Source organism: Homo sapiens, chromosome 3, assembly GCF_000001405.40.
Source record: "Homo sapiens chromosome 3, GRCh38.p14 Primary Assembly".
NCBI classification, from domain to species: domain Eukaryota; kingdom Metazoa; phylum Chordata; class Mammalia; order Primates; family Hominidae; genus Homo; species Homo sapiens.
In genome coordinates, this window is record NC_000003.12 from 42,146,640 (window position 1) to 42,161,338 (window position 14,699).

The 14,699-nt window shown below is 43.6% G+C and overlaps 1 protein-coding gene across 34 annotated transcripts in view, besides 2 other annotated features; it reads left to right on the forward strand.

The window, feature by feature from the left end:
• Window positions 1-14,699, forward strand: part of TRAK1 (trafficking kinesin protein 1) — a 212,798-nt gene that overhangs the window by 133,547 nt on the left and 64,552 nt on the right. For 5 of the 34 annotated variants that reach the window (XM_017005908.2, NM_001349249.1, NM_001349248.1 and 2 more), the window contains exon 1: window positions 2,596-2,960. The exons of 24 other annotated variants lie outside the window; for them this stretch is intronic. In XM_017005908.2, the coding sequence (XP_016861397.1) occupies window positions 2,897-2,960 (64 nt within the window). In that variant the 5' untranslated portion in view covers window positions 2,596-2,896. Of the gene's footprint in view, window positions 1-2,595; window positions 2,961-13,553; window positions 13,835-14,699 lie in introns of those variants that run through there. 5 more of the 34 variants (XM_017005907.3, NM_001410741.1, XM_047447721.1 and 2 more) reach the window with 1 other exon arrangement.
• Window positions 4,981-5,543: an enhancer, noted in NCBI's record as "H3K27ac hESC enhancer chr3:42193112-42193674 (GRCh37/hg19 assembly coordinates)". NCBI's record gives its function as "activates a minimal SCP1, AML or CMV promoter by ChIP-STARR-seq in primed H9 embryonic stem cells {active_cell/tissue: H9 hESC(primed)}" and the evidence as "EXISTENCE:reporter gene assay evidence [ECO:0000049][PMID:30033119]".
• Window positions 12,996-13,595: an enhancer, noted in NCBI's record as "OCT4-NANOG-H3K27ac hESC enhancer chr3:42201127-42201726 (GRCh37/hg19 assembly coordinates)". NCBI's record gives its function as "activates a minimal SCP1, AML or CMV promoter by ChIP-STARR-seq in naive H9 embryonic stem cells {active_cell/tissue: H9 hESC(naive)}" and the evidence as "EXISTENCE:reporter gene assay evidence [ECO:0000049][PMID:30033119]".

Sequence of the window (14,699 nt, forward strand, 5' to 3'; positions counted from 1 at the left end):
GAAGTCCTGGGCTCAGGTGATCCTCCAGCTTCAGCCTCCCAAGTAGCTGGGTCTACAGGCATGTGCTACCACGTCTAGCTGGTTTTAAAATTTTTTTGTAGAGATGAGATTTGGCCATGTTGTCCAGGTTGTTCTTGAACTCCTGGCCTCAAACTATCCTTCCTTCTTGGCCTCCCAAAGTGGTAGAAGTACAGGCATGAGCCAATGCAACCAGCCCTCTGGTTCCTTTATTAAATCATTTTGCAAATTCTTGTTGGACCTTCCCCACCCTAATTGGATTGAACTGGCGAACATTGCTGATTTTTTAGGAGTTTGTTGTTAACTATTTGCCTGTTTATAAGGCCCATCATCATCTTTTTAGAAATACCTTAAGGTATCTCAGAAAACCTCGGGACACCGGACTCCATTCACCTGTCTTGAGGTGAACATCTGAGGGGCTGTTTGGGAGCTTGCAGTGGGGCTCTTGAGAGGCACCATCATGGCCAGAGATAGGACAATATTAAAGACTAGAGGGAGAGATGAGATGTGTCAGATAGCAGGGGCAGTTATAAGAAAGGAATTAAAATCATTTCTGCTGACTTTAAATAGTCACAAGTCCTAGAAAACTGAAAATGTATATTCAAGTTGGGATCAGGGAGAGGGAATAAAGTAAGTGAGGGAGGCTATGGGATCTGATATATACTTTGACCAGAAAGAATGTGCAGTTTGGTTGGGAGTGTCTTGGAGGAGGAAGAGATGATGACAGAGGGGCACAGGTCCTCCAGGGTGTAAGTGGTAGCCAGGAGACAGCAGGGCCAGGGATGGTGTCATTCCCTTGTCTCCTACATTTTCTGAACTTTTCTGGAATCCTATTAACAATTTTAGCCAAAATTCATCATCAGCATCAGTGGTTCCACTGCAGCATGCGGGGATGGTTTCTTTGTCTGCTTGTGGTTTGGGCCCCTGCCTTTAACTTCTCTTTTCCCTCCGGGACTTGAGGCTCTGTTATCCATAGTGAGTGCCAAAGGGTTGGATCCTTGCAGTCCACAAGAGGACAGGACCTGCTCTCACTAAAGGCTGGGCCAAATGGGGTTGGCCAGCCACCTGGCAAGTGGGAAGGTCTGATGTGGTATCCTGCCCAGGTGTGCAAGCAAGGCCCAATGATAAGGGCCAGACATGGCTGTAACATGAGGAGAGGGTACCCCAGAGCAGAGAGAGATTTCTTTGAGGACCTCACAACACAACGTTACAGGCTCTTCAGCTTCCAGTGATTTAGGAAGATTGAGATGGATCGATACAAAGTATGGATTCCATCTAAGATTCTCTATATAAGATGTGTGTGTCTATGTGATTTTCCTTTAAATTTCTATTTTACACACAGAAGCAGACATACACATACATAGAAACACACACACACACACACACACACTATTATCTGTATATATGCTGCTGTTGACACCAACAGATACTTACAGTACCTGGCCAAGAGGACAATGAAGTAAATAAGTAGTTTTGGTTTAGGGCAAGGTTCTCAACCAAGCAGTTTTATATCCAGGGGACATTTGGCAATGTCTGGAGACATTTTTGGTTGTCACATCTTGGGGGTGGAGGGTAGTGCTACCTGCGTTTAGTGGGTAGGCACCAGGGTTGCTGTTAAACATCCTGCGATGCCCAGAATAGCCTTCCACAGCAAGAATTACCTAACCTCAAATGTCAATAGTGCTGAGGTTGAGAGACCCTGCTTTAGGGAATGAAATTCAACCTATAGGATAGCCTAGAATCTGTCTTATTATCCACTACCTTGTTTTATTATGAATATTTCAAACATATCAAACATTTAGAACTAATATTAACTGTATTTTTTAAGGAAATAAAACATATGGGTGCATTTATAAGGAAAGTTTTAAAACCTCATTTCCTCACTCCTTCCCCAGAGGCAACTAACTTCCTGCAGGTGGACTTTTTTCTTCTAGTGTGCACTTTAACGCCTTGATTACACATGTACGTGTCCATGAAACAGCATATTGTACTGCACAAGCCCTTTGTGATGGCGCCCTCCTCTATTTGTATGTGACAGGCTGTTTTTCTAGAAGTTTGAGCAAAAGCATGAGCAGAGAATAGTAGTGCATCTAAGTGAAAATGTTTCCATTTTCTAAGTAATTTACATTTCCTTTAAGTGGTGGTCAAAAATTATAGAAGATGTTTAATGTGTGAAATCAGGTTGAGGAAAGGAAACCAAAAGTAATGATTTGCAGATTTTAAAAGGTGGCAGATTTCAAATCCAGAGTCTTCTTTCTATCGTGACCCAAAGTAGGGTGAATAAGCTTGTCCTTACGTTTCTTGAAGGTGATGATGGTGCTGACCCCTCTGTCTCTCCCTTGCCTGTACCCTTTCTTTTCCCTGCCTGGCATCTCTCAGCCTCTGCTGCCAGCATCCTTGGAAGACATTTCCTCCATCTCTGCATCATTTTTCAGAGCCGGCCAGTTTCTATGGCAACGGTTAGATTGAAAGATGAGCGGCGAGCAGGAGACGAGGCTTGAGTGAGACAGCCAGTGGTGGTGTGTGTCTCTGACGTCACCCTCTAGGCGTCTGGATAGGACGATCCTGGCTACTCCCATTCAGGGCTGCTGTCCAGTGCTGCTTTATTGGCAGTGCTGCCAGGGTCTCCGTTAGCTCTCTGCAAATTGCCTTCCTTTCTGCTCCTCCTACTCCCTCCTTCCCCCATAGAATTTTTCTTTTCATTGCCCACTTTACTGTTTTGGCTCCAGACTGTCGTTAAGAATGTACAGCCTAATTCTGGTGTGTTTCGGGATATTCTTCTGTCCAGTATTCTGGAAGGGCGGGGAGGCATGGCAGCGTTTTACTTGACGTTGATGGTGCTGTGAAGTCCATTCTTTCCTCTGCAAGACTACTGACTATGCAGAAATTTATCGAAGCGGATTATTATGAACTAGACTGGTATTATGAAGAATGCTCGGATGGTAATTATGGCCCCTGCAAAACAGAGCCGGGATGTATAGGGGTATTGTCTCCTTCTGGGTGGGGGGTGTCCTGAAACCTTTAGGGGAGACAGGCGGCTGGCGGGTGGGAGGTACCAGAACTAGCACCACTGGCTCTGGCAATTCCAAAGGCATGGTGGAGGAGGTGGCAGGTGGGCAGGGCTCTTTACCGTGAAAGACTCCTGCAGTATGTATGATTGTTTGCTTAGAAGGGGAGATGGTTTTTGGTGTGCTGGGCTTGTAAGTGTTATACTTCTATTGGATTGAATTTTCTCTGGTGTGAGACGTGAGTGTGTTGTTGATGCATGAATGTGTGCAAGTGGAAATGTGTTCACTGCGCTCTTGCTGTTGGAGGGGATAGGAAACTGGGGGCTTGGAATAGTGTGTTCAGGAGGTGGCTTCCTGGACTGTCAGCAGCAGGCCTGGAAGACTCTGCCCTTTTCTGAGCCCAGACCTGGGAACCATCAGAGGCTGGAGAAAAGGCAGAAGCAGCTTACCACTTAGCGGGTGATTCAAATGAAGTTTGCTTGTTGGATCCAACAGAGATGGGGGTGGGGAGGTGATGGGAGGGGCAGGGAAAGAATGTGTCCTTCTGTCACTACCTTGGTTTGTGCAGGGAGGGTGTGGCACATTCCAAGGGAGACTGGGTGGAGGCCAAGTTGTGTGGCTGGACAGGTCTCAGGAGGTTTCAAGCACACAGAAAACAGCACTGAGGTGCGTTCTCAGAGACATCACAGTGGGCGGGGTCTCAGGTTCCTGGGGTGTTGGACATCAAAATTGTGTATTACACAGTTAATCTGTCTTTAATTTTGTCTTGAAAGTGACCCTCATATCACATGCCTTCACAAAAAAGGGGCCCAATTAATATATACACTTTGAGGGTCTGTTCCCCAGTGATGATATGTTCCCAGCCCTATATGAGCCATTAATAGATAAGGTAAGTGCTTTTTAATTGAGTCGGGAGTTTCAGAATGCTCTATTCCTGACTACATTTGATTAACCTGAATGATGTAACAGGCTGGGACCTGGCCTAGTTAGTAAACTGAAAAACTACATAATTATCTCTTATCCACTGATTTTTGCCGCGACTGTGGGTTAAGGCTTTCTCAGGGGATGGTATTTAAATGTGTGGAAAAACTATGCCAGTTCAATCTCACTGGCCCCCAGCTTTAGATGCAGACATTGTCATGTTCGTTCTGTGTACATCTTTAACTATTTTGAGTAACAAGGATTGGAGGCAGTTCCCAGGGTCATGAGGGGAAAAGATGAGTGAATTTTTTCTTTGGAATATATTCATTCTAAAAGCAAGTTCCCATTCTGTTACCTAACTCCAAAAGGAAATTCTAGAGATGCTCCTTTTTGGAAACCATCATTGACCTCCTTCTAGTTTCCTTGGTGATTTGTGACTCATTGAACCCTCTATAACTTTTTAAAGTAAGGGATTGAATACATCCTCACTGTACCATTGGATTAGGGAGCACTGGTTACAGCAGGGTGCTGTCAGAGGCCCCGTGGATTAGTCAGGTGGGGCCATAGCTCTGTGGATGCCATCCTAGAAGTGGAGGAAGAAGGTTTCCTAATACCATGACCCAAATGCCACACCATCCAGTTCCCTTTACACCCTGAAATAAAGCCAGTCGCTTGCCATGGTCAATCTGGAGGGTGAGCGGAGGCCTGCTCTTATCTGGGTATCCATCAGAAGGATTTTCTTACCCAGCACTTCCTCAGTTGAGTCTTTTGGCCCTGAGAGACCCTGATCTGTCTTCCTCTAAGAGCAAAGGAAAATAGAAGAGGAGATGGCTCAACTGTTCAAGGGTAAATATATTGATTTATTTATTTCTGAATTATTGTTATTGTCTGAATGTATGTTGAGCAAAATACTTGTCCTTTATCATCTATCCCATTTTGGATGAAGGGAAGAAGGTTTTTGAGACAGAATTTACTGGGACCACTGGTATTTTCATACTCCCATTTAAAGAGGTAGCAAAGTAGGGAATAAAGGAACAGAAGTCCAGAAATAAACTGGTTTAGGAAACGTACAAAAAGGAGATTTCAATTATGTGCCAATTTTGTGGTTACTTGCTTACACATTTCTAACTAGTTGAGTTCCTTCCTAGCTTCAGGCAGATTAGTCTGGAAATGAAATTTGCCCCTGTTTATATGTACCTGTCTTTTATTTGCCTCTGTCTTTTTTATTGCAACTCAATAGACACACACCATTGCTTTGTCTCTGATTATTTGGCATTTGAATCGTCAATGAGGGAAGCTTTTACAGAACTTTTGATACTAATAAAAGGTGAGTCAAATGTTTTAAAAAAGATGCAGAATCATCATTTATGTCAGAGCTACTGACTCACACTTAAATTGCAGTGTTAGCACTGAAAAAGAAATGTATATGGATGGGAATATAGATTGCAGGCCAATTAGGACCCCTCTTTTGAAGTTGGAATTAAGGGATAGCTACTGTTCTCTTCTATCTTTGAGGGTTAGGAGAACTTTATTCAGTGTTGAATAACTGTATTCCTCCTGTTTATTAATGTTTGTTGTGGGGGTCTTCTATTCAGCACCCATCTCTGCCTGTCCTGCTCCCCCGCCCCCAGAGGAGGATATAATAAGAGGCATGGGACAGGGGCTTATAATAATAAGACATGGGAGGGGTTGATTACCCAGTGTCTTCAAGTAACTTTTACGAGAGATTTGAAATAGCCAGCGATCAATGCAAAATAGCAATGGCCTTGGCAGAATTTGCACATACATACTCAATGTTTACAGTTTAAACTCTGGTGTCAGACAGGGTCATAGTTACCCCGATTGGATGCATCCCATCTCTGGTGCAGAACCTCTAAAACTTGGGAAATCATTGAAAGTCATCTGCTTATTAAAAAAGCAGATTCTCAGACTCACATCAGACTAGGAGAAGTCCTGAGAAATCTAAATTTTTAGCACATGCTTTGGGGGATTCTTTACATCACGTGTGTTTGGGAAACTGTGCTGATTGATGTCCATGGAAAGCAGCCTCAGGCATGGGGAGGGGCTGGAAAAGAATTATTTAGGTCAGTTTCGGGATCTTAGATTGTTTCTTGGCTACACTGGCCACTTTTTAAAGTGTGCTTAGAAAGAGTATGACACCTTTTTAATTTTCAAAAGGACTTGGGTTCAGTGTATGTCCTTATGTTAAAGAAACAGCCCTCTTTGTAGTTACTCTAGAAATAGGTAGAATGGCAGAAAGAGCGCTGGCTGTCTGTGTTTGAGGCCTGTTTTGTACTTCATGTGGCCATGTGGTATGGGAACATCCTGGGATTTCTGTGAGCCTCTGTGAACTCAGATTCCCCATCTGGAAAACAGGAGTAACAACACTGGTTGGAACCTTTATGGAGTGTAAATAAAGTGATAGCTCTTTGTAAGCGACGAAGAGCCAGGTCAGTGTTTAATTTTATTTTCTCAGAAATAGTACTAGTTATTAAGGCCTTTAACAAAAAAAAATCTTTGAAAAGGCTAATGGGGGCCTGGTATAGTGTGTCATGCCTGTAAGCCCAGCATTTTGGCAGGCTAAAGGGGGGAGGATCACTTGAGGCCAGGAGTTTGAGAGCAGCGTGGGTAACATGGTGACATCCTGTCTGTACAAAAAATAAAAACATTAGCTGAATGTGGTGGCATGCGCCTATAGTCCCAGCTACTCGGAAGCTGAGGTGGGAAGATTGTTTGAGCCCAGGAGGGTGAGGGAAGCTATAATTATGCCACTGTACTCCAGCCTGGGCGACAGAGTGAGATCCTGTCTTAAAAAAAATAAAAAAAAAAGGAATGGTATTTTGAACAAGGTACAGCATTTTGACCACCTGTTTGTTGCTTCAGTTTCTTTTGTAATCAGACTTGCTCTCCATCCCCGCTCACCTCCCCCTTTTATAACCTGATAGATTTGAATGTTGGGGTAGGAGGTGGTCTAGTTCATACTGATTTCACAAATGAAGAAACTCGGGTAGATTGTCGCAGAAGTTATTCTTACAGCTTCTTACTCTATAATGAAGATTTATGGTATACGCAAGGGCAGTCTGGTGCGCTCTGTTCCTCACTTGATTTCAGTGATCTCTGAAATGTCACCCAAGATGGCGGTGGCTGGTTCGTGAGTGTTTTTTTTCTTTTTGTGCGTGAGTGAAGTTTTGTTAGAGGTATTTTAAGCATTAATTGAAAAGCTGCATTTCTGAACTGAGTTTTCGAATTTTCCTACGTGTTGACGCAAACAGATCCCCATTTCTTTGTCTTGTGTTTTATTGTGTGATGCGCCCGTGAAGGTAGAGGTTGACTTCTCTCTTTCCACACACAGCACTCTCCTCTGTGGTTATTAAGGGGATTAAAAAAAGAAAAAGAATGAAATGTAAACAGTTTTATAATGTAACTGTTTTTATTATCACTGGCTATAGTAAAATAGAGATAATGTCCTCTCTGACATAGGAGCTGAGGACTAGAGACTTGGCAAGAAAGCCAAAGCAAGCCTGGAACCCAAGTTTTTGGAGCTTTGTGGTGCTCTTGTTTATTTAATTTTAATTTTGTTTTATTTATTTATTTCTTTTTTTTTGAGATGGAGTCTTGCTGTGTCATCCAGGCTGGAGTGCAGTGGCACGATCTCAGCTCACTGCAATGTCTGCCTCCCAAGTTCAAGCGATTCTCCTGCCTCAACCTCCTGAGTAGTTAGGATTACAGGTGTCCATCACCATGCCTGGCTTATTTTTGTGTTTTTAGTAGAGATGGAGTTTCACCATGTTGGCCAGGCTGGTCTCGAACTCCTGATCTCAGGTGGTCTGCTTGCCTTGGCCTCCCAAAGTGCTGGGATTACAGGCGTGAACCACTGCACCCAGCCTTATTTATTTATTTATTTATTTAGAGGCAAGGTCTTCTTCTTGTCACCCAGGCGGGAGTGCAGTGGCATGATCAAGACTCATTGCAGCCTTGACCTCCTGGGCTCAAGTGATCCTCCTGCCTCATTTTTTAATTTTTTTGTAGAGATGGGGTCTCACTATGTTGCCCAAGCTGGTCTTGAACTCCTAGGCTCAAGTGATCCTCCTGTCTCAGCCTCTCAAAGTGCTGGGATTACAGGTGTGAGCCTCTTTGCCCAGCCTTATTTGTTTATTTAAATTGTATGAGCAAGGTCTTTGGGGACATGACCCTCAGTCGTGCCAACCCTGCTCTCTAGGAGCAGAGAAGTGAAATGTGAGTGAGGAACATTGAGCATCAATGGGACAGGTGAAGTGGAGAGAAAGATGCTCATACCTGAAGGAGATGGGGAGCAGTGCTGAACCAGACCTTGAAAGATAGGAGGATATGGGCTAGGGAGGTGGGGACGTTGAGGGTATAGCAGAGGAAAAACTTTATGCCTCTACCCTGCTTGATTCAGTAGCTAGGTGCCCTGAGAAACAAACTGATAAAAAACATTAACAAGAGAAAAATCAGTTTTAATTATGTAAGTAGGCACTGGCAATCACAAAGAAATAAGAGTCAAAGAGGCAAGTAGAATTTGGCGGGTTCTGTGTCATCCCAAAGGGCAACAAAGTATGGAGAAAAGGTGAGACAAAGGAAAACGGGTTTGGGATTCCTGCTGGGGAGTAAGTTATGGGAAGGCAACTTGGAAACGTGGGATACTCAAGACATGTTTAATAAGGTGTGCAGATTCAAGTGGGTGCCTTGTCCATAGATAAGAGATTGTACAGGAGACGGAGACACCCTTCCAAATGTAAATTTCTTTACAAAAGGAAAATTTATGCTCCGTTTTTAGAGCTTTTCCGGCATCTGCTGTTCTTCAGTTGCTTCTGCTCAAAATAATCCTTATGTCAAAGAGGCATATTTTGTTTGTAGGGGTGGGAGTCTGGTCCCCTTCATAGGTGAGCTAAGGCAGTAGCATTATGTGGGCAGAAGTTAGCAGCTTGTTTTGTCTGTTTGAGGTGTGGTGGGAAGCCAGGCTGGAAGCAGAGGCTGCAGGGGAGATGCAGGATGTGGAAGCCAAGAAAATATAGAGCTCCCATCTTGAAAATAAGGGGCACCCTTTAGATCAGTGCTATCCAGTGAAGCTTTTTGTAATGCAGTAAATGTTCTATTCTCTGCTGTCAAATACGGTAGCCACTGGTCACATATGGCTGTGGAGCACTTGAGATATGGCTAGTGTGACTGGTTTTTAAACTTTAATTTTAATCCATTTAAATGTAAACATAAATAGTCCCAGTGGCTTGTGGCCACTCTTTGGACAACACAGGGTAGAGCTTTGGGAAGATGACTTCTATGGAGTATGTCAAGTAGATGTGAGCAGGAGACAGAGAATGATGTGCCTCCGCCCTGCAAGAGGTGATTGACCCTCCCCTCCACTGGTCTTCCTGTCCAGTGTTCCTGGAGATGGATCAGGAACTCACTCTCTGCTTCCCTGCTGTGGGTCCCAGTGTCTAGTCTGTGCCTTTGATACGGCACACACATCTGTTACTTAACTGCCTTTCACACCTCCAGCTCCAGGCTCCATGTCCAGCCTGGCCCAGCCCTCTCCATCCCTTGGTTGGCACAGGGATTCCCAGGCTTTCTTGCCGGTCTTTGGGGGTTGTGTTTTGCTTTGACTTTTGGAGAAACTACACTCTCAGGGAAGATGCCCTTTGGCCCATCTCTGCCTTTAACCGTGAAGTGAAGGCAGATGTGCATGAGTTTTCAGAATTCTCTCACACCCTTGCAGCAGGAGGGGAGGAAAGAAGAGATTGGGAGAGGGATATCGTGAAGAGTGTCTAAACCCAGAGAAATGGGGTGACATGAAGAGTCTAGGGTGGTCCTGTGTTCAAAATTTCATGTCTTACACAGCAGCCAGCCCGAAGGGGCTCCCACTGGCCTAATATGGGGCAATTTGAACATCAAAATAAATAATAGTAGTCAAGGATTATGACTTATAGAATAAAGGAAGAATCCGTGAGTCTATACTGATAAAAATAAATGAATGACTAAATAACGGGAGGGAAGAAAAAGTTATTACAATAAAAAGCCAACTAATAAGTGTTGGAATGATGGAATTAGAAATTAGAAATTCACCACTTTCCCATCCATCCACATAAATGACTAAGACAAGACTTATTAAAACTGGTGGTCTCAAAGTATATCACCATGAAATATATCACCATGAAACACTGTTGAATAACAAAGGGAAAAATAATAGCTTCACAGTGAGGAAACCAAATGATCAAAGTAAACATTGGGCTTTAAAAACTGGAGCTTTAAAAATTACCGATGGGGGCCGGGTTCTGTGGCTCATGCCCGTTCATAATCCCAACACTTTGGGAGGCCGAGGCGAGTGGATCAGTTGAGGTCAGGAGTTTGAGACCAGCTTGACTAACATGGTGAAACCCCATCTTTACTAAAAATACAAAATTAGCCAGGCGTGGTGGCGGGCGCCTGTAATCCAGTTACTTGGGAGGCTGAGGCAGGAGAATAGTTTGAACCCAGGAGGCGGAGGTTGCAGCAAGCAGAGATCGCACCACTGCACTCCAGCCTGGGAGAGAGAGTGAGACTCTGTCTGGAAAAAAAAAAAAAATTACTGATGGGACCAGGCATGGTGGCTCACACCTGTAATCCCAGCACTTTGGGAGGCTGAAGTGGGTGGATTGCTTGAGCCCAGGAGTTTGAGACCAGCCTGGACAACATAGTGAGACCCTGTCTCTACAAAAAATAAAAAAATTAGCGAGGCATGGTGGCATGTGCCTGTGGTGCCAACTACTTAGGAGGCTGAGGCGGGAAGATCCCTTGAGCCTAGAGGTCGAGGCTGCAGTGAGCCATGATCATACTACTGCAGTCCAGCCTGGGCAACAGAATGAGACCCTGTCTCAAAAAAAAAAAAAAAAAAAAAAAAAAAAAAAAGGTTAACATTGGCAGTAGTGGGACCGCTCCACAGCAGACGCCTCCTGAGAAGATGCACTGAAGAGAAAGTAACACCACTTCTGTGTTTTCTTGCCGAAAGTTCATAAACAGAATCTAATCATAAGAAAACACCAGGAATACCCAAAGTGAGGGACCTTCTACAAAATAGTTGGCCTGTATTGTTCAAAAAATCTGTTTTGAAATATGAAGACTCAGAAATTGTTCCAGATTAAAGAAGACTCAAGAGACCTGGCCGTTGAATAAAACACATGATCTTGGATTTCTTTTGCCATAAAGGATGTTATTGGGACAACTGAAGGGAATCTCAATAAGATCTATGGGTTACAAAATAGTAGTGTTTCAGTGTTGAGAAAGAGAAAGTAAATGTAGTAAATGTTACCATTTGGGGAATCTTTTTGTACTATCCAGGAGTTTTCTGTCCTATTCTTGTAACTTTTCTGTAAATCTGAACTGTGTACCCCCCAAAAACAAAATATTCATTGTTCATTTCTGATGGAGGCATACCGGCATTCACTGTAGTGTTCTTTATTCTGTATATTTTAAATATTTTTATAATTAAAGGTTGGGGAAAAGTAATGAAGTCATGTTCTAAATATTGTGTAATATATAGAGTCTTGGACATCATTTAGAATATCTAAGTCTCTGTATGTTTCATAATAGCGATACTCTAGATTTGAATTAAAAGATGAGTATAAATAAATTTATTATGAGTAAAGTCACTTGATAGTATTTTTGAATTGGTGAAATTAGCTTTTGTTTTCCTTTATATACACTGTGGCCGGCACAATATCCTACTCATCTTATCGTCAATCTGATACTTGCTGAATGAATCACGCACAAGGTGGAGGTTCTTCCTCTCTCCTGCCTTCTCAGGGGTTCAGAATAACCATTTGTGTCATTCACAACACCTTATAGATGTGCCCACTGTCATCTGAATTGAATTAGTCTAATCCGATAAAGCTTATTAATATTAAATAAGTATTTTTTGAGTGTGTTTATATTTAAAGCTTATGCAGTATTTCAAAATGGAATGTTGAACTCCCTGCCTGAATTTCTACACCTTTTTTTTTTTTTTTTTTTTTGGCTAAGAACACATCTTTAACATGGTAAAATACAGCTCTAATTTTCAAGTTCTAAAAAATTAACCAGAGGTCTGGGCGTGGTGGTTCACGCCTGTAATCCCAGCACTTTGGGAGGCTGAGGCATGCGGATCATGAGGTCAGGAGATTGAGACCATCCTGGTGAACACGGTGAAACCCCGTCTCCACAAAAAATACAAAAAAAAAAAAAAAAAAAAAATTAGCCAGGTGTGGTGGCAGGTACCTGTAGTCCCAGCTACTCGGGAGACTGAGGCAGGAGAATGGTGTGAACCCGGGAGGCGGAGCTTGCAGTGAGCCGAGATCGTGCCACTGCACTCCAGCCTGGGCGACAAAGCAAGACTCTGTCTCAAAAATAATAATAATAATAATAATAATAATAATAATAATAATAATTAGAGGATGCATATGTCCTTAGACTTTTAAATAAAATCTTTATTATCTCTGGTTTTCTATTTAGAGGCACTTGTACATGATGTCATATTAGTCTTTATGGAGGTAGTAATTCAATTTAGCTGACATTTTTAGCCACCTGAGCAGAATTCTCGGCCCTAAGGATTCAAAGACGAATGAGATATGGTTCCCGAACTTGTGTAGAAAATTGTTTTATGAAGACCTTGCCCCTGCTAAAATCTCTCTTGGCTACCTGGGGGAGGCAGCCTGTTCGGGAGGTTGGAATGAGTGTCCTGGTGTAGCTGTTAGGAGCAGGAGACCTGCACAGTGTAGCTGGGAGATGGCTGAAGCACAGAGATTACAGAATGAGCTGTGATTCTCCGAGACGCTAGCACCCGGGGCTGCCTTTCACTGGGTTTGATGGAAGAACCTGCCGTTCTCACTGTTGCAGGCAAAATCAAATGGTATAGAGGAATTGATATCAAGGTGTGCAATTAAACTGTGGCTTCTTTCTGCAGGCAACTTTGCAAGCTATTAGGCTTTAGATTTTTTTCTTACCTTGTTCTAGCAATTAGAGAGATCTTTATAAATTTGGCTGTGGAAACACAGATTTAGGGTAAGAGCAGGATTTTATGAAATGTAGATTGATAAAGAGAAAATGGAGGTTATTATCAAAGAAGGACTGGGATGAATTAAGTTTAACGAGGTAATGGTCACTGCATTTTTTTCCCTTTTGCTAGAAATTAGAATGATCCCTTCCTTCCTCTGCTCAGCGCTGTCAGGCAGTTGTCACAGTCAGATTTGTCTCCACATCTTAAGCCCGCCCACAGGAAGTCTCTCATCTGGGGGTGTTGGGCAGTGCTTCAGCAGGACAATTCCTCCGCCAGCGCCCCACCTTTAAACAGGTGTGCCTGCTCAAGGCTTAGTTGATGTTGCCCCATGCAGTTGCTGTGAGACTTCTAGGAAGCTACCACTCCTCATTGCTGCTGGGGGAGGAAAGGTGGAGAGGGTCTAGGAGGCCGAGAGCTTGCTGAGATCCTGTACCTTCCTGCAGGGCTTTCCTCTGAATCTCCTGCGCCTAGCAGGGCATTCCCACCCCGCCAAGTGCTCCACCCCACCCCGCCCCTCCTCCAGGCTCATAGGAGCCACCCCCTTCCGGGTCCTGCCCGGGTGATGCTGGGCCAGGAGCTTTGTGTACACCCCTCCACTTCAGCTGAGCCAGGGCATGTCTGCGGCCCAGGCCAGGGCGCAGTGTGTGCCCTGGGGGCCCAGGCCTGCATGGCTCCTCTGGGTAGGGGGTCGGGGGCACCCCCAAGGATGGTCCCTTAGGGTGATGTTTTGGCTTTGGGGTGACTTCAGCAATGTCCCTGCGAGACAAGGGCGGGGAAGAAGAATGTTTTGAATACGACTGCCAGGATGAAGAGAGGAAGCCAACCCACAGGCAGCATGACACCCAGGACCTCTTGGAAGAGGGTAAATTCTGTACTTGGCTCAGATTTGATCCTTTCCTTGTTAGTATCTAAATAGGCTTGAATGTTTTGCTGATTTCATAGCACTGTTTTGTTTTTGTTTTTTTTTAAGTTGAGGTATAAGTTAGAGATCTTATGCAAATGGCTTAAAGGTGTCCTTGTAAGAGCCCCCACCCCCTCACCCAGAGAACAGCATTTCCAGCTCCTCAGGAAGTCCCTTGGTCCCTTTCTAGTTTACATCTACCTTCCCAGAAACAATTATTATGACTTCTGTCACCTTAGATTTGTTTTGCCACTTCCCGATCTTTGTAATGGAATCAAACAGGGTGTATTCCTTTGTGTCTGGCTTTTGTTGCTTAACTGAGGTCTTTGAAATTCATCCTTGTTGTTGCTAATATCACTAATTTTTTTTTGTGCATGGCATTCCAGCATTCTGTTTTAAGAGATTCAGTTGTTATCTTGTGACTGGTTGGGTTTTGATAAGTTAATGGACAAGAGACCAGTCTTATTAAATGAAGCATGTTTTTGTTCTGGCAGTGTTTATTTTTAAAAAAATTATTAATCACTTATCTGAAATAAAGATTTTTTAAATCTTAGAAATATTTCAAAATGAATAGCCCAAGGCTGACATTGAAATCTGGGAGCCCACTGCCGGCTCTCTTAAAGAGATGCTCCTTTGCAGGGAAAAGGGAGGATGTTAGGTAAAGATAGGCCCAGATGCTGGTATGAGCTTTCTAGTTGGCCTTCCAGGGCTTTCACCCACAGCCCAGAGAAAGGAGCTTTGGGGGCTGATCAGGATGTTTAAACAATGACTAATGTTCTTTAGGTCCCTTGAGTAAAAACAATCAGAATATGTTTCAAACTTCTGC